Here is a 23,487-nt window from a genome sequence, read left to right on the forward strand (position 1 = left end):
GCCAAGAAAAACTAAATTTTAAATTACACATGGGTAAGGATCACATGTGTACCACCCACATATGAAGAAGCTCCAATCACAGAAACAAACATGATGACAGATACAAAAATGATTTATGCCATAGAGCCCCAGGAAACGCAAAAATGAAACCACCCCATAGAAAGGTCTCTACAACTAAAAGTATATGCAGGACCCCCCTACACACAAACACAAATATGCACATACATATAAGATAACTCCCTTTAAAGAGCTCACAGAAATTATAAGATATAGAAGATATTCATGTTATAAAATTCAGGTGCTGAACAAATACATAGGTGACTTTACCTTCTTGGTGTGATAGAATAGCTTGCTGAGGAACAACTCTCCCTCCAAGAATAATTAGAAAACTGAATATGATACCTCTCTAAAAAAATCTATTTGAAGGTATCAGAGAGCTACCAAAGCAACTAGGACTTGAGACATCAGGATTACAGAGAAGTAAGCCAAGCAAACCACCCACTTTTACCTTCAAGGCATTTGCAAATTCTTTGCATGGCATCAGAATCCAGAAAGAGAACTACAAAAGCAGAGCTTCTGGCAAACTCATGGGGATGAAGAGACAAAAATTAGACCTTGCACATCCTAATGCAGCCAATAATTAAATGGCCAAGATCCTGAAGAGAAAGGAATGAAGAGAAGATTAACACATGGTGGTTTTCAGCCAAGGCAATTGTTGAATATTTATGCTGCATAAGACAAAAATCTAAGAAGCTAAATACAAAGATGCTGAAAAGAAAGAATTTTGGGCAGTCTCAAGTGCTGAAGAAAGAAAATTAGAATTCAAGACCAAAAAAAGTATAAGAGTCCAGTAAATACTTCATCTGGACTCTCAGCAGGACCTTAAAATGGCCATACCCCAGGGGCAGGGATAAATCCATGTTACAGAGCTTCACAAGAAGTGCATCCTGAACTGAGTGCCAGTGAACTCAGTTCCTAACAGAATTAATGAAACCTATACCTATTCTACCTGCCTTTCTATTCTGTCTGCCTTACACCAGACAATAGCATAAACCCTATTTAGAGAAAAATTGCATCCTCAAGAGCTTCTATAATTTTTCATATATAATGGTCATCATTAAGTAAAAAATGACCAGGAATATCTAGAAAAAATAAAACCACAAAGGACCCATTTATTGGGATTATCTAACACAGAGTTTAAAATTACTGTGTTTAACAAAACAGATGATTAAATTATTAAAGAACTAAAATCCATGAAAAATAAAGCTTCTAGAACTGATAAATGCATTAATTCAAATTAAGAACTAAACATCTGTAAAAGCAGATTAGATATAGCAGAAGAGATAATTTGTGAACTGAAAAATGTGTCCAGATAAAACACAAAGGATAAAAGGATAGAAAGAGGAAAATGAGCACAAGATCCACATGGAACACAACAAAAGGTCTAACTAATATGTAATTAGAGCCCCAAAGATGGAGAAGAATGAGAATGTGAGCGTAGCAATATTTAAATAGGCAGTGGCTGAGAATTTCCCAAAAATGATGATAGACATGAAGCCATAGACTGAAGAACCATTGCAAACCCCAAACAAAATAAATCTATAGAGACCCACATATAGGCCCACCGTAGTAAAATTACTGAAAAAACAAATAGAAAGAAAACTATTTAAAAGCCAGGCAAGGCTGGGTGAGGTGGATCATGCATGTAGTCCCAGCACTTTGGGAGGCCAATGCAGGAGGATCACTTGAGCCCAGGAGTTTGAGACCAGCCTGGGCAACATAAGGAGACCCCATCTCTATTTTTAAAATTTTTTTAATAAAATAAAATAAAAGTCAGGCAAATATCCAACCATTCTGCAACATATTCTGTTGGTGAGGCTGTGGAAAAACAACTGTTCTCATACATTGCCTATGAGAATTCAAAATGGTACAACTTTTATAAAGGGGAATTTCATGATACCTAAGAAAATTACATGGACTCCTGGAATCCAACCCAAAAATAGAGTGAAAAACATGACAAAAGACATACAACCTGGGCTATTCATGACAGAAATATTTGTAATGGGAAAAGACTACGTACAACCCAAATGTGCATCAGTAATGGACTGGTTGAATAAACTGTGGTGTCTCCATACAATGAAGTACTCTGGAGCTATAATAGTGAATTGTGAATATTCTCCATGGAGTAATCACTACAATATATTAAGTGAAAAAATAAAAATTTATATAGTGTGTTACTGATAATCTAAGAAATAAGGGATGTAAAGAAAAGGTAAAAAGAAAATATATTTTACATATATACACGCATATATCTATATAACTTTTTAAAATGAAAACCATACAAATATAAATGATTATAGAGTAAGAAAGGAAATGAGTGGAGGGGATAGGGATATAAGCTAGACTTTGTTGAATACAACTTATTTTGTAGCTTCGATTTTAGAACCATGTAATTATTTTAGATAGTAACAAAACAAGGACTGTGTCAAAATGGCTTAGGAGTAACTTTTTTAAAAACTTCCATTAGGCAAATATGGAACAATTTAAGGGTCAATGCAGATAACTGCATTGTGTAATATTAGACCAAAATAAGAGTGACTACCACTCAAGAATGTGAGTAGAGCACTTCATTATTTTAAAAACTGATATAATAAGGGGAAAAATCAAACATTTATCTGTCTTTCTTGTACAAACTGTACCATGGAATTACCATATAGTAGGTAAAATTCCAACTAAAAATAATGATGGAATATCACATTTGGCAACCTTTAATTAATTATATGTTCTCTATGGTTTCTAACATCACAAAAAAGATGACCAGAGATTCTGTAACTCCTGATGAGAGAACCCACCTCCATCATTAGAGTATTCTTGCCCAAAGCAAAAAGCTTGAATCTACATCCAACTACCACATCACAGTAAATACAGAGAACAATGAAACTGTTACAGAAAGAAAAGGATGCATTCAGCAAACTGTGGAATGTAGGAAACTCAACAAAACAAATAATCCAGTTTTTTCAACAAACAAACTACAGAAAGAAAGAGGAAGGAAGTGAGGGAGGAAGGGAGGGAAAGAGGAAAGGAGGAACGGAGGGAGGGAAGGAGGAAGGGAGAAAGGAAGGCAGGAAGGGAGGAAGGCAGGAAGGCAGGGAGGCAGGGAGGTAGGCAGGAAGGCAGGCAGGCAGGAAGGAAAGAAGGAAGGAAGGAAGCAAGGAAGGAAAGAAAAGAAAAGAGACAGGGAAGTCTATTAGGAGACTTAAAAGATACCTCAACCAATCCGAACAATAGACTTATTTGACTTCATATTCAAACCAAAAGATAATCAAACACACACATGCACTCACACATGCTGAATATGTTAAGAATGTTAAATATATATGTGTGGATTTCATATATTATTTTTGCTGTTTTCAAATAATTTAAATAATTGAATATTGGATTGTATTAAGGAATTCTTAATTTTAGGCATGATAATAGTATTGTGGTTATGTCTTTTTTTAAAGATAAAATGAGCTCTTAGTAAATAGAGATACATACTGAAATATTAAATGATAAGTTGATGAGAAATTGCCTCACAATAATAAGTAGTTGGGAATAGAGATTAAAGAAGATTAAGCACAAATTCATAATTTTTTAAGCTGAATGATCAATACATGGGGTTCCTTATAATATTCTGTAAAACTTCATAGTTGCTTGAAATTTTCCACAATAAATTACTTTGGATAAAAGCAACCATGAAAAAAAGGCATACTACCTTCAAAGTAGAAAATAAGACTGAAAGCAAAAAGACAATCATAAAATCTTTAATGTTCTAAAAGAATATAACTTCCAACACAGAATTCTAAACCCAGTGAAATATCCTTCAAAAGTGAAACAAAAAATCAAAAACAAAAAATCTATTGTCAGCACATTCATGCTTCATGCTAAAGAGTTTTTTAGACAGGAAGAAAATGACTTTATTGTTCTACAAACTTGCCAGCAAAACAAAGAAAAGAAAAGAAAATTATTCCAGATAGAAACATAAAATAAAAATAAAAAATAAATGAAAGAGTAAATATATGAGTAAATTGACTGAACAAAAAGATAATTATAACTGTTTGTTTGTTTGTTTGTTTGTTTTGAGACAGGGTCTAACTTTGTCACCTAGACTGAAGTGCAGTGAAGGGATCATGGCTCACTGCAGCCTTGACCTCCTGGGCTCAGGCGATCCTCCCAGTTCAGCCTCCCAAGTAGCTGGGACTACAGGCATGGGCCACCATGCCTGGCTAATTTTTTTATTTTTTGTGACACGTAGTATCACTAGGCTGGTCTTAAACTCCTGACCTCAAGGAATCTTCCCACCTCAGCTTCCCAAAGAATAACTTTCTTTTAAAAATTAAAATATATGTAAATTTTAAACGCATAACAAGAATAACATAAAAACAAATGGAGTTACAGTATTCTTAAGTCCTAGCATTGTCAGGTTAGTGACAAAAGTACTTATATATGAAATATGATTAAGTCAAGGACTTACTAGGGTAACTGCTAAAATGTTAGCAAAATAAGGTTCAATGAAAAAGCCAATAAAAAAATTACTAGATTAGGGCAAAAGAAGAAAATGAAGGGGAACATAATACAGGAGGAGCAAATTGTAAAAAGAGATGTATATTTGTAAATTCAAATATATCATTATTTACACTAAATGTAAATGGACTAAATACTCCAATTATAAGGCAATGTTACATGTTGTTTCAAGAAATTCATTTTAAATATAAAGACAGAGAAAGATTGCAATTAAAAAGATGTAAAAATATATACCCCCAAAATACTAACCATAACAAAGCTAGAGTGACTAAAAATATCAAAGTAGACTTTAGAACAAGGAATATTATCAGAGAAGAAGGATGTTATATAATAATAAAGGGATCAACTAAGAAGACATAAAAATCCTAAATCTATATGCATTTAGCAACAAAGTTTCAAAATGCAAAAACAAAACAAATGTAACTAAAAAATAGACAAACACAATTATATTGAAGACTTTGACAGTACTCTCTCAGTAATCAGCAAAATAAGTAGACTGAAAAATTAGCAAGTTTATAGAAAAACTTGACTAGTTTTTCTATACTACCAACCAATGTGACATAATTACATTTAGGGAGCACTCTACCCAACTTAACACAATACGCTTTCTTTTCAAGTGCACATGGAACATTCACCATATTCTGGGTGTTATAAACTGAATGTATGTCCCCCAAAATTTACATGTTGAAATATAAGCCCCAGTGTGATGGAATTTGGAGGTGGGACTTTGGGTAGTCATTAAAATTAGATGAGGTCATGAGAGTAGGGAACTTATGAATGAAATTGGTTCCCACATAAAAGAGGCTCCAGAGAGCTCCTTCACCCTATCTGCCATGTAAGGCACAGGCAAAGATGGCTGTCTGTGAATCAGAAAGTAGCTGACACTAAACACCAAATCTGCTGGTGCCTTGATCTTGTGTTTTCCAACCTCTAGAACTATGAAAAATAAATTTATGTTGATTTATAAGCCACCTAGTTTTTTGGTATTTTGTTGTAGCAGCCCAAATGGACCAAGACATTGGACAACAAAACAAATAAAATTATACAAAATATCTCTGGCCACAGTGGAATTAAACTACAAATCAATTAGTAAAGATATCTGAAAAATCCTCAAATATCTGGAAAATAAACAACACACTTCTAATAAAACTATGGTTTGAAGAAAAGCCACAATGAAAATTAGCATATATTTTAATTGAGTAAAAATGAGAATATGTCATATCAAAATTTATGAGATGCAAATAAAACAGTGCTTAGAAGGAAATTTACAGCGTTACAATTCTTGTATTAAAAAAGAAGAAACGTCTCAATACAAATAATCTAAGTTTCCACCTTAAGGAATGAGAAAAGAAGAGAGAGAGAATTACATCCAAACGAAATCAAATGGAAGGAAAAAAATAATAAAGATAAAAACCAAAATCAATAAAATTGAAAACATAAAACTAATAGAAAAAATCAGTAAAACAAAAATATAGTTCTTTGAAAACCCCAAAAATATTGCAAAAGCTCTAGTCAGTTAGACCAACAAAAAGAGGAGACACAAAAATAATTTCAGGAATTAAACAGGGTACATTACTACAGTCACACTGATATTAAAAGGTTAATAAAGAAAACACATAGATAAATTTTTGTCAATAAATTCAACTACTTAGATAAAAGGAACAAATTTCATGAATGACGTATACTAGCTTCCAGCCTTTAAGCCATTCCAGCTGATACCATGTGGAGAAGAGACAAATTGTCCCTACTGAACTCTTCCTAAATTTCAGATTTGCATTCAAAATAAATGTTTTAAATCACTAAAGTTGTTGATGTTATTCAGCAAAATGTAGCTAGAACAAACGCTGCACTCAAACATAAGTGGAATGTTTCAGTAAAATGGAATAATTACTCCAATAAACAATAGGCTAGTTCATAAAGCAACTCTCAGCAAATGACAAAGGATTGATATCAATCAGGATCTATTTATAAAATTAATCTATAAATAAATAACAAAGAAAAAATCTCAAAATATTTGTAAATTAAATATTATCCTAAATAACACATGAATAAAAAATATATATAATAGAAATTATAAAACATATTTAACCAAATGATAATGAAAATATTGTTTCAGGGCTTTTCCTTAGTTCAGCTAAAGACAGGGTTTTTGCCCATCCCACAGCCACGAAAATTTAGGCTTGCAGATGGTTTAAAGGGTGAGTAAAGCAGGGTTCTATTGGGTGAAAAGGGAAAAAAAGGAGGAAACAGGGATTATCACAAGGCCTGAGTCTCTCCGCTAGAGCACTTCCCGCCCAGCTGATTGAATCCCAGGTTCCACACAGGAAGAGGAGGGGCCAGGCTCCTCCCCATTGCAAACGGTGTGAACTTCCCTAGGCTCCACCGCAGTGGGCAGGCTGGTTGGAGTTTCTCCAGGGACCCCCTCCCATCTGCCACCTGGCTGTCTCAGTATGACATGTAAAAACATATAGAATTCAGGTAATTTTTTGTTGAGAGAAAAAGCTTCAGTTACAAATGCATAACTTAGAAAAGAAGAAAGTCAACTACTTAAGTATCCGTCTCATATAGTTAAAAAAGGGGGAGAGAGCAGAAAATCAAACTGAAAATAGAAGAAAAGAAATAGTTGATATAAGAACCAAAATAAAGGAAATAGAAAACATATGTACATTAGAAAAAATAAACAAAGTCAAACCTTGGTTAGTTCTTTGAAAAGATCAGTGAAAGTGATAAGCCTCTGGGGAAATTAATAAAGGAAAATGTGAAAGTGCAAATTACGGTAGTCAGGAATGAAACACACGGACTTTAAAAACTGAAGAGGCTATCATAAACAAATCGAACCAAATAAATTTTTAATTTTTAATGAAGTAATAAAGTTCCTAGAAAAACACAATTTAAAAAATTGACATAGGAAGAAATACAATATTCGAATAGCCTATATCTATAAAAGAAATTAATCTGATTATAAAAACCTTCCCAAAAGAAATCTCCAGTTTTCCCAAGATGGTGGATTAGGGGCTTTTAGCACGACTCAGTGCCTTGAAAGTAGCAAGATCACACATAAGAATCAACTATGTGAGCTTTCATGCAAGAAGGAAAACGGGAATGCACCAAAATCACAAAGGACACCCCAGATCATAGGAAAGAGAACACAGGCAAACAGCTGCCATGACAGGTATCCAACTGATAAAAGTGAATGAAGCCCCAGTATACGAGAGAGGAAGAGACTCTCCCTCTGTGACTCACCTTTCCACTGGGGGTCCAAAGCTGAGAGAGAGCACTTTGTTTCTTCCAAGCCCTGTAGTTAACTTGGGGAGAGTCTTGGAGATGTTATGAGGGAAAAATAGTGGGAAAAACTGCAGACATTTTCCCAGTCCCAGGACAGAGAACAGGACACCGTTTTTAATCTGAGTGCATACAAACCAGCCATTCTTTGGTGACTAGGCCCCATGGCTGCACAGGCATTTTAGTCTTGAGCTGGAGATGAGCACCTGCCCTGGAATAGAGTAGGGGCCTCTATAACCAGAATTGTGGAAAGCCCCCTCAGCAGTAGGCACTGGAATTGTGCTCTCCCCCATGGAAGACTTGGGGCAGGATATCCGCCACAGCTGTGATTTCTCCTAGGTGATAAGAATTGCAGCCTGGGCCAGTTTGGTGACCTGGAACTGGTCTCTATGTGTCATTGCTGGGTGCCTCAACCTACTCGCCTGAGATTGTGGTGCAGCAGGGCCCTCTCCACTCCACCCCCAGGCAGAACTCCAGGCATTTAGAACACCCACATGCTTGGATGAGCAACCTGAGCCATCCCACCCTTCCTGTGCATAGATCATTGTGCAGTGGAGTCCTCTCCACTCCACAACCAGGCAGATCTGCAAACATCAGGAGCATCCACTTACATAGACTAGCAGCCTGAGTCACCCTGCCCTTCCTATGCAGCGATCCTGCTGGAGGAGAGCACTCTCCGCTCCACACCCAGGCAGATCTCCAGGCATCTGGAGCACCTGCTCACCAGGATTGGCAGCCTGACCACCCCACCCTTCCTGTGCAAAGATCTAGGTGCAGGGGGGCCCATCTCTGATCCATGCCCAGGCAGATGTCTATGCAATTGAAGCCCCCACTCACTTGGATCAGCAGCGTCATCTGCCCCATCCTCTCTGTGCAGAGATTGTGGTTCAGCAGAGCCCTCTACCCTCCACACCCAAGCATATCTCCAGGCATCTGGAGCTCTGACTCTCCTGGATTAAGAGTTTAGCCTCCCCAAACCACACTGCCTGCATCTCCTCAACCCACACCACCTGCGCCGAGAACTTCCAGCTGAGGATGATTCCCAGCTCCATGCCTAGGCACACCTCTGGGTGCTTGGTGGCTGCCCATTAGATTCTCCTTCAGTGCTAGTGCTTGTGCCTGCAACTGGGGGACCTGTAGGTGAGCCTGCCCAGTCCAGCCCTGCCTGTCTTGCTCCCAACCAACCCCTGGGACTGAGCAGGGAGTTCAGACCACTGTTCCCTCCTTGGATCAGCCCATTGCCTGAAGCAACAGAGAGCTTCTCCCAGGAAACAAGGGTCAAGTATATACCAAACAAATTGACCTATAAGCTCTGACCTCTAAGCACCATCCACTGGCTTGTAGGTCCAATCACACAGCCCAATATAAAACCTGTGAACAGAAGTGCATAGTGCTGTAGTAACAAAATCAAAGGACCCTACTCAGCATTCTCTACAGTCACACCCTCCTAGGAAGGGGGAAGGGGGAGGAGGGAGGAGGAGGGAGGAGGAGGGAGGAGGGGAGAGGGAAAGGGAAATTTTACAAACTAATATTATTATAGGGAAAGAAAGAAAAAGAAAAAATTCTATCCATAAGAAAATAGATTCAAGAATTAGAAGTGCCTGTGTCTCCAGATGAGAAGGAACCAATGCAAGAATTTTGGCGTAATAAAAAATCGAATGTAGTGACACCACCAAAGGTTCACACTAGCTCACCAGCAATGGTCCTTAACCAAAGGTGAATCCAGCACCATCACCCTGATACCAAAACCTGGCAAAGACACAATGAAAAAAGAAAACTTCAGGCTAATATCCCTGATAAATATAGATGCAAAAACCTCAACAAAATACTAGCAAACTAAATCTAGCAGCACAGCAAAAAGTTAATTCACATTAATCAAATAGGCTTCATTTCTGGGATTTCTGGGATGTAAGGTTGGTTCAACATACATGGATCAAAAAATGTGATTCACCGCTTAAACAGAATTTAAAACAAAAACCATATGATCATCTCAATAGACATGGAAAAAGCCTCGATAAAATGCAACATTCATTCATGGTAAGAACCCTCAACAAAACTAGGCATCGAAGAAAGAAACTTCAAAATAATAAAAGCCAGCTATGACAAACCCACAGCCGCCATCATACTGAACACAGAAAAGCTGGAAGTATTCCCCTTGAGAACTAGAACAAGACAAGGATGCCGACTCTCCACTCCTATTCAACATAGCATTGGACGTCCTTGCCAGAGCAATCAGGCGAGAGAAAGAAAGGCATGCAAATAGGAAAAGAAAATGTCAAACTACCTCCACTGACAATACGATTCTGCACCTAGAAAACTCTAAAGACTCCACCAAATGGTTCCTGGGACTGATAAACAACTTCAGTAAAGTTTCAAAATGCAAAATAAATGAACAAAAATCAGTAGGATTTCTATACATTCAAGCTGAAAGCCAAATCCAGAATGCAATCCCATTTACAATAGCCACACAAAAAAATACCTAGGAATATGCCTAGGTATTTTCTCCTCCTCTAACCAAGGAGGAGAAAGATATCTGCAAGAATTACAAAATAATGCTAAAAGAAATCATAGATGACACAAACAAATAGAAAAACATTCCATGCTCATGGATTAGAAGAATCAACATTGTTAAAAATGGCCACACTGTCCAATGCAATCTACAGATTCAATGCTATTCCTTTCAAACTACCATTGCAATTTTTCACAGAATTAGAAAAAAAATTTAAATTCATATGGAACCAAAAAAGAGCCTGAAAAGCCAAAGCAATCTGAAGCAAAAAGAACAAAGCCAGAGGCATCACATTACCTGACTTCAACCTATACCATAAAAAAAAATTGACCATAGACCAATGGAACAGCATAGAGAACCCAGAAATGAAGCTGCATTCCTACAGCCATGTGATCTTGGAGAAGGCTGACAAAAATAAGCAATGGGGAAAGGACTTTCTATTCAATAGGTGCTGGGGTAACTGCCTAGCCATACGCCAAAGGATGAAACTGGACCCTTACCTTTCACCATGTATAAAAGTTAACTCAAGATAAACTACAGATTTAAATGTAAGACCTCAAACTATAAGAATTCTAGAAGAAAACTTAGGAAATACCATTTTGAACACCAGCCTTGGGAAAAAAAATTATAACTAAGCCCTTAAAAGCAACTGTAACAAAACAAAAATTGATAAGTGGGACCTAATTAAACTAAAGAGCTTCTGCACAGCAAAAGAAACCATCAACAGAGTAAACAGACAACCTACAGAATGGGAGAAAATATTCACTAAGTATTCATTCGTCAAAGGTCTACTATCCAGAATCTATAAGGAATATAAACAATTCAACAAGAAGAAAACAAATCACCCCATTAAAAAGCAAGCAAGGCCAGGCATGGTGGCTCATGCCAGTAATCCTAGCAGTTTAGGAGGCTGAGGTGGGCGTATTGCCAGAGCTCAGGAGTTCGAGACCAGCCTGGGAAACATGGTGAAACCCCATCTCTACTAAAATAGAAAAAATTTGCCGGGCGTGGTGGTGAGCGCCTGTAGTCTCAGCCACTCCAGAGGCTGAGGCAGGAGAATCAATTGAATCCAGAAGAGAGAGGTTGCAGTGAGCTGAGATCGTGCCACTGCACTCCAGCCTGGGCAACAGAGTGAGACTCCGTCTCAAAAAAAAAAAAAAAGAAGAAGACATACAGGCAACCAACAAACATATGAAAAAGTATTCCACATCACTGATCTTCAGAGAAATGTGAATCAAAACTACAACGAGACAACATCTCTGACCAGTCAGAATGCTATTATTAAAAAATCAAAACATAACAAATGCTGGCAAAGCTTCAGAGAAAAGGGAACATTTATACATTGTTGGTGGGAATGTAAATTAGTTCAACCACTGTGGAAAGCAGTTTAAATTTTTCTCAAAAAACTTAGAACTATTGTTCAAGCCTGCAATCTCATTACTGGGTATATATCCAAAAGAAAATAAACCATTCTACCAAAAAGACACATGCACTCATATGTTCATCACAGCACTATTCACAATAGCAGCAACATGGAATCAACCTAGGCGTCCCTCAGTGGTAGACTGGATAAAGAAAATGTGGTACATATATATTACAGAATACTACATGGCCATAAAAAAAATTATGTCCTTTGCACCAACATGGATGCAGCTGGAGGCCATTAACCTATGCATATTAATGCAAGAACAGAAAACCAAATACTGTATGTTATCCCTTTTAAGTGGGAGCTAGATATTGGGTACTCCTGGACATAAAGATGTCAACAATAGACACTGGGGACTACTAGAGAAGAGAAAGAGGGAGTAGGGAAAGGATTGAAAAACTAACTATTGGGTACTAGCCTCACTTCCTGGGTGACAGGATCAATTGTACCCCAAACCTCAGCATCACACAATATACCAATATAACAAACCTGCACATGTACCCTCTAAATCTAAAAAAGTTGAAACTAAAAAAAAAAAAAAAAACTTCCAGGCCCAGATATCTTTACTAGTGAATTCTTCTAAACATTTAAAAAAGAAATAGCAATAATTTTACAAAACTCACCCATATTCTAGGGAAAAAAATAACATTTTCCAAATCATTTTTTTGAGTTCTGCAAATCTTAATACTAAAAAACCTGGCAAAGAAATTTTAAGACGGGAAAATTACTGGCTATCTCTCACATAATATAGATATAAAAATCCTAAATAAAGTATTACCAAATCAAATACAATAATAGAAAATAGATAACATATAACTACCAAGTTTTCATTTATTCTAACAAAACTGGAATAGTAAGCTAGCCTGGTCTAATATGTAATAATCAGTCAATGTAATTCACTACATAACAGAATAAAGGAGAAAATTAGTTTATCAGCTTATAAATGTAAAAAAAATGCAACATCCATATGACAGGTAGAATAATGCCCCCACAAATATATTCGCATCCTAATCTCCAAAACCTGACATGACAAAAGGGACTTTGCAGATGCAAATAAGTTAACGGCCTTGAGATGGGGAGAGCACCCTGGATTATCCAGCCTAATCATGTGGTAACCTAATTATGTGGCTGATTAAAATAAGAACCTTTCCTGACTGTAGTTAGAGAGAGATGTGACTATGGGAGAATGGTGAGAGATTGAACATTGCTGGCTCTGAAGATGGAGGAGACAGGCAACAAGCCAAAGAATATTAGTGACCTGTAAAAGCTGGAAAAAAGACACAGATTCTCTCCTAGAGCCTCCAGATGGAATATATCTCTGTCAAAACCTTGATTTTCAGTCCATGAGACCCGTGTCAGGCTTTTTACCTAAAGAATTGTAGGATGATAAGTTTGTGTTGGCTTAATCCACTAAATCAGTATTAATTTCTTACAGCAGTAACAGACATGTAATAGAACCCATTAATGATAAAACTTTTACCTAACAGGGAATAGGAATGAAATTCCTTAATTTGAGAGTGTTGTCGAGATTCATAAAAGGTGTTCTTTCATACCCTGAATATTCAAGAATTTGAGTCCATAAAACAAACTGATAATAGACAGATTAATAAAAGAAAAAGCATATAAATGTATTAATATGTAAGCACACGGAGTCACACAAAGTATAGAAACTCAAAGAAGCACCAGATAGCTGAAGCTTAAATACTCTCTCTACAGGGGAGAGGAAAGTGAGGGATGTAGGCAATTTTAGAGGAAGAGTAAATGATTTTTTAGGGGAGATGAATGAGCCCAAAGTATAAACAATAGCCTGGGACAACGCTCTTCTGGGCTCTGGGTGTGGTGTCACCTTCCTTCCTGCGATATGCATCAATTTCCCATGGTTAGTGAGACATCTGGGGAAGAGATTCACAACAGTTGAATGTCTTTTGGAGGATCTGGACTTTAGGTAGATAGGCAAAGTTCAGAAAAAAGGCCTTCCCTTCATTTGCTGCTCCCCCAGTGTTCTCAGTGTAAAGTACAAAGTGGCACATTTCAGGATATTGTTTTCTGAGCCCCAACAGTATTCACCCAAAATTCACAAGAGGCCACATATTTAATGATGAAATGTTAAAACATTTTTCCTTAGATTGGGGAATGAGACAAGGGTGCCTGCAAGAATTACTTTTATCCAACATTAGTACAGGAGTCCCTAGCCATAAGACAGAGTTAAAAAAAAAAAGGTGGGGGGAGGGCTCAGAATTTTAAAAAGAGAAACTGCAATTATTCTCAGATAATCTAGAGACAAATTACTAGGATTAATAAGTGAATCCAAGGCTGAAAACACCTGAAAAATATACACAGGGAGTTTCCAGGATGCTGGAAGCATGTTGTTTGGTTTTTCGGTCTGCATGTGGTTGAGTTTATTTTGTGAAAATTCACCAAGCTCTTCCATTACAATTTTTGCACTTTTATATATGTATGTTCATGCTTCAATAGAAAGATCATTAAGAAAAAAAGACACGTGGGAGCCTGTCTTCAATCGTGATTATGAGTGGACACTCTGAATCTTGACTTATTCTTGGTTTTGCCTCTCCCATACAAGTTACTTATACAAGATCTTATACAAGTTACTCAACTTCTCAACATTTCAGTATTCTTTACTACAGAATGAGGATGATAGCATCCACCTTTGTGAGAAGATTAAGAGAGTTAATACACATAAAGTCCACAATGAACACTCAATAAATATTAACTATTTTATTCCATAGCCAAGAGATAATCCACAGACCTAAAAAGTGGAAGTCAAACTAGACGAGCAGAGTTAATTGAGAAATCTGGAAGTGACTTTAAAATAAGTATAATTAAAAGCTTTCAGATCATAAGAACAGTAATTTATGAAGGAAATACAGATTTTTTTAAAAAGTAGTAGATTATAAAATCTCAAAATGAGAAGTATAATCATTAAAATAAAAAATTTAGTAAGCATGTTAAATAGTAAATTCATCAAAAGTGAAAAGAGAATTAGTAAATTTTAAAGAATAAACTGAATGAAAATCCAAAATAAACACATAAGAATAATATATAGAAAATATGAACAAAAGTCACAGAGGCTAGACTTAGATACTCCAAATTACATCAAATCAGAACTCCTGAGGGAAAGAAGAGGGAAGGGGCAATGACTGTTTCATTATGTTGGGATTTGGGGATTTTTTAGACAGGGTCTCTCTCTGTCACCCGGTTTAGAGGATAGTAGAATGATCGTACCTGACTGCAGCCTCATCTTTCCAGCTCAAGTCATCCTCCTACCTCAGCCTCCCAAGTATCTGTGACTACAGGCATGCACCACCATGCAGGGCTAAACTTTTTAAAATTTTAGTAGAGATGTGTTCTTGCTATGTTGCCCAGGCTGGTCTCAAACTCCTGAGCTCAAGCAATTCTCCTGCCTCGGCCTCCCAAAGTTCTGGGATTACAGGTGTCAGCCGTCACAACTAGCCTATGCTGGGATTTTTGAAGAGCTGACGAAAGACTTGGGTCCTTAGATGAAGAAGGCACACTGGGTCCCAAGTGGTATAAATAAAAGTAAACCCACACCTAAACATCATTTTAAGGCTACAAAACATCAATAGTAAAAGAAAGCCTGACAAGCTACCAGGAAGAAAGACTATTACCTAAAGTAGAAAGATGAACAGACTAACATCAATGAATCAGCAACAATAAATAAATGTTGTGGCATACTGGAGCCAGCCTGCACCAACTCACAAGAGCCAACTGAGAAATTTCCAGGAATTTTGTGAACCAGTCATTAAAATGTCAGTAGTTTAAAATCAGCTATGGTGGGAGTATTTATACCATAGAAATTGATAAATGCTACAAACCAGAGTTCTTTCTCCAGCCTCCAGAAAACATTTACCAGCACATCACTGAATAAAGGCCAGAAACAATAAAAATCTCTAAAACACTTGATGAAAAGTAGCTCTCAGCCTAGGATTCTATACCAAGCCAAAACATCCTTTGAGACTGAGAGGAAAAATAAAAACATTTCCAACCTACCTGAAACTAAAAAAATTTGAATCCACAGACCTATGCCAAACAAAATACTGAAAGCTACATATACTTGGATAGGAAGAAAAATAAACCCAGAAGTAAGGAGTAAAGAAAATCAGCAAACTATATTCTTAAATATAAATCACTATTATCATTATTACAATTAACTGCAAAAAGTGTAAATAATTTATATTTAAAAGCAATGTGGAATCAAAATATTGGGCACCAATAACATGGGAGAAAACAATAATGAGGGGATGTTGGAGGGATGTTTAATATGCCAAAACTTTTGTGTTGTTCATAAACGAGATGAATAAATTGATTACTTTTTAGACTGCATCATAAAAACATAGTTTACTATGTGTGAGGATGCACTGGTGACAGCCTAACACACAGTGGGACCTTAATATATAATTTCTATGTCCATTACCAAGGGAATTATATTTTTCTTGTTTTTCTTAAATTTGGAAAACAGCACTGCAGAAATTAATCTAGGATTGAGCCCATTTTGTTTTGTACAAGTACAAAAAGACATTAACACTTGATATGAATTATAGTCGAGAGATATGGAACTAATATTGAAAGGAGTTAGCCAGCTTGCTTTAGTCAGACAGTAAGGGAAGTGCCCTCGGAGAATCTCCAACCCACCCCACAAGTGCTTGCACCAGATGTTTTGTGCAGATAAGGGAACTTGCACATGGGGCTTGCCTGAACATCCCCACAGCAGACTAAGGGACCTCATGTGCACTGTGGGGAGGGAGTGGAGCCACCAGGAATTCACGCCTTATACCCAGCCCCATCAGTTTTTATATAAAACCCCTGGTATTCAACTGTGAAGGAGACAACCAGGAGCCTGCTATCAGGACCCCTCTCTTTGCTGAGAGCTTTCCTTTCACTTAATAAATTCTATTCCACTCATTCTTTGAGGGTCCATGTGCCTACTTTTTCCTGGTGTTGTGACAAGAACCCAGACCTAGCTGAACTAAGGGGCAAAAAATCCTGCATCAATATTTAACATTATAACCATCTGGACATAAAATCATGATAACATGCAATCATGATCATTTTTATTCAGTTCCAACTTATTTTATTCTTCTGCTTGTCATGTCTACATCTCTATTATGGACTCACAAGATCCTATCATTCCTACAGACTTCTCAAAGCAAAACAATTCCCTATTAACATCATGGGTCTGATTTTTTTCTTTACCAACCATGTTTTAAGTGGTTCTGTACGGGGTGGAATTTTTTCTCTTTGCTGCTTCATTCCCATTGTACCAGACTGACAACATGAATTCTCATGGCCTTACTCTCAATTATTCTTTCTTGGAATTATACATTTAGTAATGCAGAGACTGAAAGGGGATCCAGAAAGAGAAATAGTGGGGAGTAGGAAGGGGGTAGAGGGTGATTTCAAGTGGATTTTCTTGTAAGTTTTTTGTAACCCTCACACAGAAGATAAATTTGTCACAAGATACATCTTTGCTGACAAAGAAACTCAGAGTAATAGAAGGCAAACGATTTCTTTTTTTTTTTTAGATGGAGTCTCACTCTGTCACCCAGGCTGGAGTGCAGTGGCGCGATCTTGGCTCACTGCAAGCTCTGCCTCCCAGGTTCAAGCGATTCTCCTGCCTCAGCCTCCCGAGTAGCTGGGATTATAAGCATGTGCCACTGCGCCCAGCAAATTTTTGTGTTTTTAGTAGAGATGAGGTTTCACCATGGTCGCCAGGCTGGTCTCAAACTCCAGACTTCAAGTGATCCACCCATCTCAGCCTCCAAAGTGCTGGGATTACAGTCGTGAGCCACCATTGTTCTGCAGTTACTCTGAGTTCTGATTTCCTCTTGTGAGGTTTCTTGTCTGTTTTATGAGGCATTTAATATAGAACATATTTAATACAAATAGACCTTGCCAAGTTCTCACTGAAGACAACCACTACTGCCCTATCCTTGCCCCAATCCAGCAGTTACTTATGACCAGGAGGACCCAGTTTACCTGGGACACTCCTGGCTTACATCTCTTGTCTGGCATAATTATTATTAGCACCTCCATAATTATTCATAGCACTCCAAAAGTGTCCTGGGTTAGATAAACTATATGGTCACCTTCCTTATGAGCAGTCAGTTATGCCTCTCCTGGATCAGATGTGGAGGGAAGGAGATTAGTATTACGGAGGGTTTATTTTGACTAAACACTGGTCTAGATACTGTGTAAGTAATTTCAGTACATCTTAACACAACCCTAGGAGACAGGTAACATTTATTACCAACTAGAGATTAGGAAAGTAATGTTCACAGAGTATGAAGTGGGTCCATGGGCATACAACTTATGAATGGCTAATTAAGGACCAGAATCCAGAGCTAAAGTCAAAACCAGTGCTCTTCCTCCTAGACCACCTTCCCAACAAAAGAAAACTGAATCAGAATATCACCATCTACCACTGTGAGATTTGAAAAGTTTGCCATTGCTCCCTACCAAGAGCCAAAGACACCAGACATTTACTGTAATGTATTTGGGCAGCCATCTGTGGAAAATTATCTGCAAAGATGACCACCCATAATTTCTGTAGCCGCATGCCATATCTCCTATCCAGAAGTGAAGTCTTTTTCCTTTCCCTTAAATCTGGGCTGGCACTGTGACTGGCTTTCACCAATGGAACACAGCAAAAATGACACTGTGCCAGTTTCAGGCCTAGGCCTTAAGAAACCTGGCAACAAGCCAGGCACGGTGGCTCACGCCTGTAATCCCAGCATTTTGGGAGGCCGAGGCGGGCAGTTCACAAGGTCAGGAGTTCGAGACCAGCTTGCCAACATGGTGAAACCCTGTCTCTACCAAAAAATATAAAAATTAGCTGGGCATGGTGGCAGACACCTGTAATCCCAGCTACTCAGGAGGCTGAGGCAGGAGAATTGCTTGAACTCGGGAGGCAGAGGTTGCAGTGAGCCGAGATCACGCCACTGCACTCCAGCTTGGGTGACAGAACAAGACTCCGTCTCGGGGAGGAAAAAAAAAATAACTGGCAACTCCTCTTCTGCTTGCTTACTGCCCCAATCCACAAGTAAAGAACTCTAGACTGGGCAACATGGTGAGACTCCATCTCTACCAAAAAAAAAAAAAATTTCAGTTAGCCAGGCATGTCCATGTAGTCTCAGCTACTGGGGAGGCTAAGGAGGGAGGATCGCTTGATCCGAGAAGGTCAAGGCTTCAGTGCACTGTGATTGCACCACTACACTCCAGCCTAGGTGTCAGAGCATGAGTTTGTCTCAAAAACAAACAAACAAACAAACAAAAAACAACAACAACAACAACAACTCTGGGCTATCCTAAGCTATCCTAATAGAAAGAAGGATTGCATGAATAGAAATGCCAGGTGGAGATGGATTAAAGCAACCCAGAGGATAGAAGGGAACACCACACCCCAGTATGTGAGACCATCTTAGATGTACAGCCTCTCCCAACCCTCAGATGAACAGTGCTGCATGAGTGAGCTCAGTCAATATGGGGAGCCAAGCTAACTCTGCTGGGTCCTACCCAGATTTCCTGACCCACAGAATTGTGAATAATCAGTGGGTGTTGTTTTAAGACACTGAACTTTGGAGAGGTTAGTAACACAGCAATAGTTAACTGATGCACTATCTTTTTCCCTACTCCCTTATCTCTACCACACTCTGAGGCTCATCTCTCTGGGTCTTTTAGAAAGCCAGGGAATGATGGCCAGGCAGGAAACACTGCCTTGGAGCCCGAACAAGCCAGCAGGCTTGTTTCCTCCTCCTGTCAACATTTCCCATGCCAGCCTTGCCCCATTCCCATTTTGCTTTGCCTCACATGAAATTATAGAAATTTCCCCATTTCTCCTTTATTATATCTATACCTCTGTCCTGTAATTCCAAGGCCACTACCATGCCCACTTTAGATCTTCCCTCAGACTCTAAAACCACACTTTTCCGGCTGGGAGTGATGGCTCATGCCTGTAATCCCACCAGTTTGGGAGGTCAAGGAGGGAGGATCACTTGAGCCCAAGAGTTCAAAACCAGCCTGGGCAACATAAGGAGACCTTGCCTCTATTTTTTTTAAAAAATGTTAAATAAATAAATTAAATTAATAAAATTACAATTTTCCTATGGCTATTCTTGAGTGTGAGGAACATCTGTAAATGTGTGTCTGTGTATGTGTGTGCATTTGTGTATGTGTATGTATCAGTGCACATGTACTCATTTTTATGTATATTCCCTAAATCTCAACAAAGTCAAAATTACACTTAACTCTACATGTGTTTGAGTCATGCAACATACATGGATGTCTAATCTCTTTATGTAAGTTTCCCAGTGCCAACTAATAATGCATCAATTTCCAACAAAAAGCCCCTGTAACTCTTTAAAAAGATTCATTAATCTAATTTTATTAATTCAGTAGTCACAATATGAATACGCTGTATTGACCTGAAGAGCTTATTTCATGTTTTTAAGAGATTTAAACTGTTTCCAATGGCAACCAGAGAATCAGCTTGACATCTCAGACAATAAAACCTTAGCATTCATCCATATCATGAGCCAAGCAGAGAGCTGGGAGGTTTATGACATTTTAATCATTGATAATTTTGGTTGTGCTGATGAGAAAACTTTTTAATGTGAGGAACTTGGAGAGGGTTCCAAGGAAAGCTGCCAAGGTAATTAAAGCAGCCTTGTAAATTGGTTTGAAGAATATGCCAGGCTGACAAAACAACCATCAGCCTATATGACCCTCCCCTCCCCTGGCCAACCCAATCTATTCGTCAGATAACCTCAGCTTAATTGAAATTGACAACACAATGATGACAAATATGTGCCATGGCTTAAGCAGCACATACTACCTTATAATCCTTTACAGAATGTGGCAATAAATAATGAGACTGGTCATTTGTACCCTGCTGACTTCCTGAAAGTGTTTTAGGCAGCTTACATTTAAAAATGCAATGAGAAGAATGTGTAAAATTAACACAAGGTAATAGCCAGTCTCAGCCGTTTCAAAATGTGTTTGGAAACTAATGAAGGAGTGGAAATTAAGCCAAAATCATGCTAAATGAGGAAATTTAGGACATATGAATATAAATATAGTCCTCACAACATAGGATGGAGGAAAGGTCATAGGAGGCGAGGGAAAAGCACACTCACAGTGAAGTGTAGGGAATAGATGAAAGGAAAAGTAGAGGGAGAGTACCAACATATACTTGATTCCAGTCTACATACAGTGAACTGTTCTAGGACTTCTAGTATCTCATTTAATCTTCACAGTAATTGATGAGAAAACTGAGACTCAGAACCTGGGTAACTTGCCCGAAGTCTCGCCTCCATAACGTGATGAAACAACGTGCCCAACCTAAAGCCATTTGACTCCAAACCCAGTATTCTTTCTGCTCAACAATTCTCAGTCAAGAAGAGATTTATTTAAGGACACTAAGCAATAGAATAAATTGTGTTATGCAAAGTCATTCTTTCACCTATGCAAGAGTGTTCCTTGTGGGCCTGTTTTCAGAAGACAGGTATGTTGTACTGCTGAGGCATTTGTATACAATGGTTAAGGGCACAAGCTCTTGAGAGTGAAAGCAAATTTGAATCCCAGTTGCATCACTTCCTAGTTATGTGATCTTTGGCAATTTACTGGACCTCTTGGGGCTTCAGTTTCCCCATTAGAAAAGTGAGAACAATTAAGCCTGGCTCACTGGATGGTGAAAGGACGACATAACACAGGCAAAGTGCTTAGCACAGAGTTCTGAACACAGTAGAACTTAAATATATTTTTATTCCAATTTCTATATCTATGTTTATTAAGTCAAGATGGCCATTGTTTTACTGAAATATTTACAGGTAAAATGACATCCTGTCTTGGATTTGCTTCAAAATATTTTAGCTTAAAAAGGAGGTGAGAAGAGCATTACGTGGGAATAAGGAAACAAGACTAACAAATGCTGATGATTGTTGAAACCACGTGAAGCTGGTACATGGGGTTCACTAGGCAATTCTCTTTACTTTGGTGTACACTTGAAATTTTCCACAATAAAAACTTTTTTTTAATGTTCGTGGTTAGAATACCCAAAGGACACATATGTTGATGAAAAATGCCAGAACTAAAGACTGAGAGGAAGAAAAGACTGAATCCTAGTTAGCCTGGTATCTCCTCAGAAGGCCTCAGGGGATCGAGGCCTGGAATGATTACTTTCTTGAATCCAAGCTGTGTATCACATAAAATTTCAAAGAGGTGACTGTTACCCTGTTCTTCAAAAGTTTGAAAATAAGAGTTGCCATGCAATCTCTAGAACTAAAGCTAATTATTTTTTGAATGCCATTACCTTGGTTTCCCTTCTTTCTACCTCCATCCACTGGTGTAGCCTACCATATTTATCTTTTCAATATTACCATTTTTGTTATCAGCCTCTCTTTCCAGCACACACAACTTCCCTGTCCTTTGAATTTCCTTATGCCTGCCAAGGGATTCCAGCTGAAGTTTCTATGACTGGCCTTCCTTAGATCTCCTAAAGATTTTCTATTTAAGACCGTTTGCTTAAAGTCTACTAACAATGCATTTTTGAGTTACAATAGCTTTATTATTAAAAGGCATATATGCTTTTAGGAAGAAAAACACATTGTCACCCATATGTGTCAATTAATTGATCGTGAATTAAGTAGGATGAGATTCCAGGATGTGATGACTGTGGAGAGGAGGTATGTTCAGAAAGAGGAGGTGGCATCAAAGCCAAAGTTTGCAATTTTGCTCCACTGTTTCCCAAAGAATTGTCTCATGTCCATATCCCTCACTCCTTCTTAGCAAGATTTGCCTGTCCACTGTCACATGCATAATAGCTCACTCTGTTTTCTAAGCTAGATAACTTGAGCAACTTATTCTTGAAAAGGTGGAAATGGCTAACAGTTTATATCCAAACATGACTACCTCCTAGGAACACATTTGTGGTACCCAGAAACAAACAAACAAACATAGACCTTAGAATCAAAGAACCTAAGAAAAGATGGAAAACAAATGACCCTCTCACCATAAGTGCCACATGATGTAATGCTAGAATTTTGTTTATGCTATTAACAATCACTTATGCATTTGTTTGTTGAAATTAGATTGGACTGTGAAGGCACAACCCCTCATCAGCTAATTTTACCCCTTCATTCCACCATGTCGAATTGTCTTTTTATAACCATCATGGAAATATAGTCTAACAATGTGGAATCGAATACATCCAGTTCCCTTTAGCATTTTCTTACCAACATGAGTGGTAATAGAACCAGTATGCTAGGACTTATGTAGAGAGCTGCAGGTGATAGAACAGTCTCATTATTTCAATTATATCCATATTTGCAATTTATTTAATTATTATCATTAGTTCCCTGTATAAATTGGTTGGGGTATTAGTCTCCAGCTAAGTTATTTTATAAAACCTTAAATTAGCCGGGCATAGTGGCTCACACCTATAATCTCTGCACTTTGGGAGGCCGAGATGAGTGGATCACTTGAGCTGAGGAATTCGAGACCAACCTGAGCAACATGGCAAAACCCTGTCTCTACTAAAAATACAAAAATTAGCTGGGCGTGGTGGCATATGCCTATGGTCCAAGCTACTCCAGAGGCTGAGATGGGAGGATCACCTGAGCCCAGGGAGGTCAAGGCATCAGTGAGCCAAGTTTGCACCACTGCACTCCAGCCT

At 38.0% G+C, this 23,487-nt stretch overlaps 1 annotated feature.

Annotated features, from left to right (window-relative positions):
- Positions 22,273-22,442: an enhancer, noted in NCBI's record as "experimental_67588 CRE fragment used in MPRA reporter constructs". NCBI's record gives its function as "activates a minimal promoter by MPRAs in K562 erythroleukemia cells, with activity observed for the non-introgressed 3:19859262 variant allele {active_cell/tissue: K562}" and the evidence as "EXISTENCE:reporter gene assay evidence [ECO:0000049][PMID:34662402]".

This window comes from Homo sapiens, chromosome 3 (genome assembly GCF_000001405.40).
Source record: "Homo sapiens chromosome 3, GRCh38.p14 Primary Assembly".
In the NCBI taxonomy this organism is placed as follows: Eukaryota; Metazoa; Chordata; class Mammalia; order Primates; family Hominidae; genus Homo; species Homo sapiens.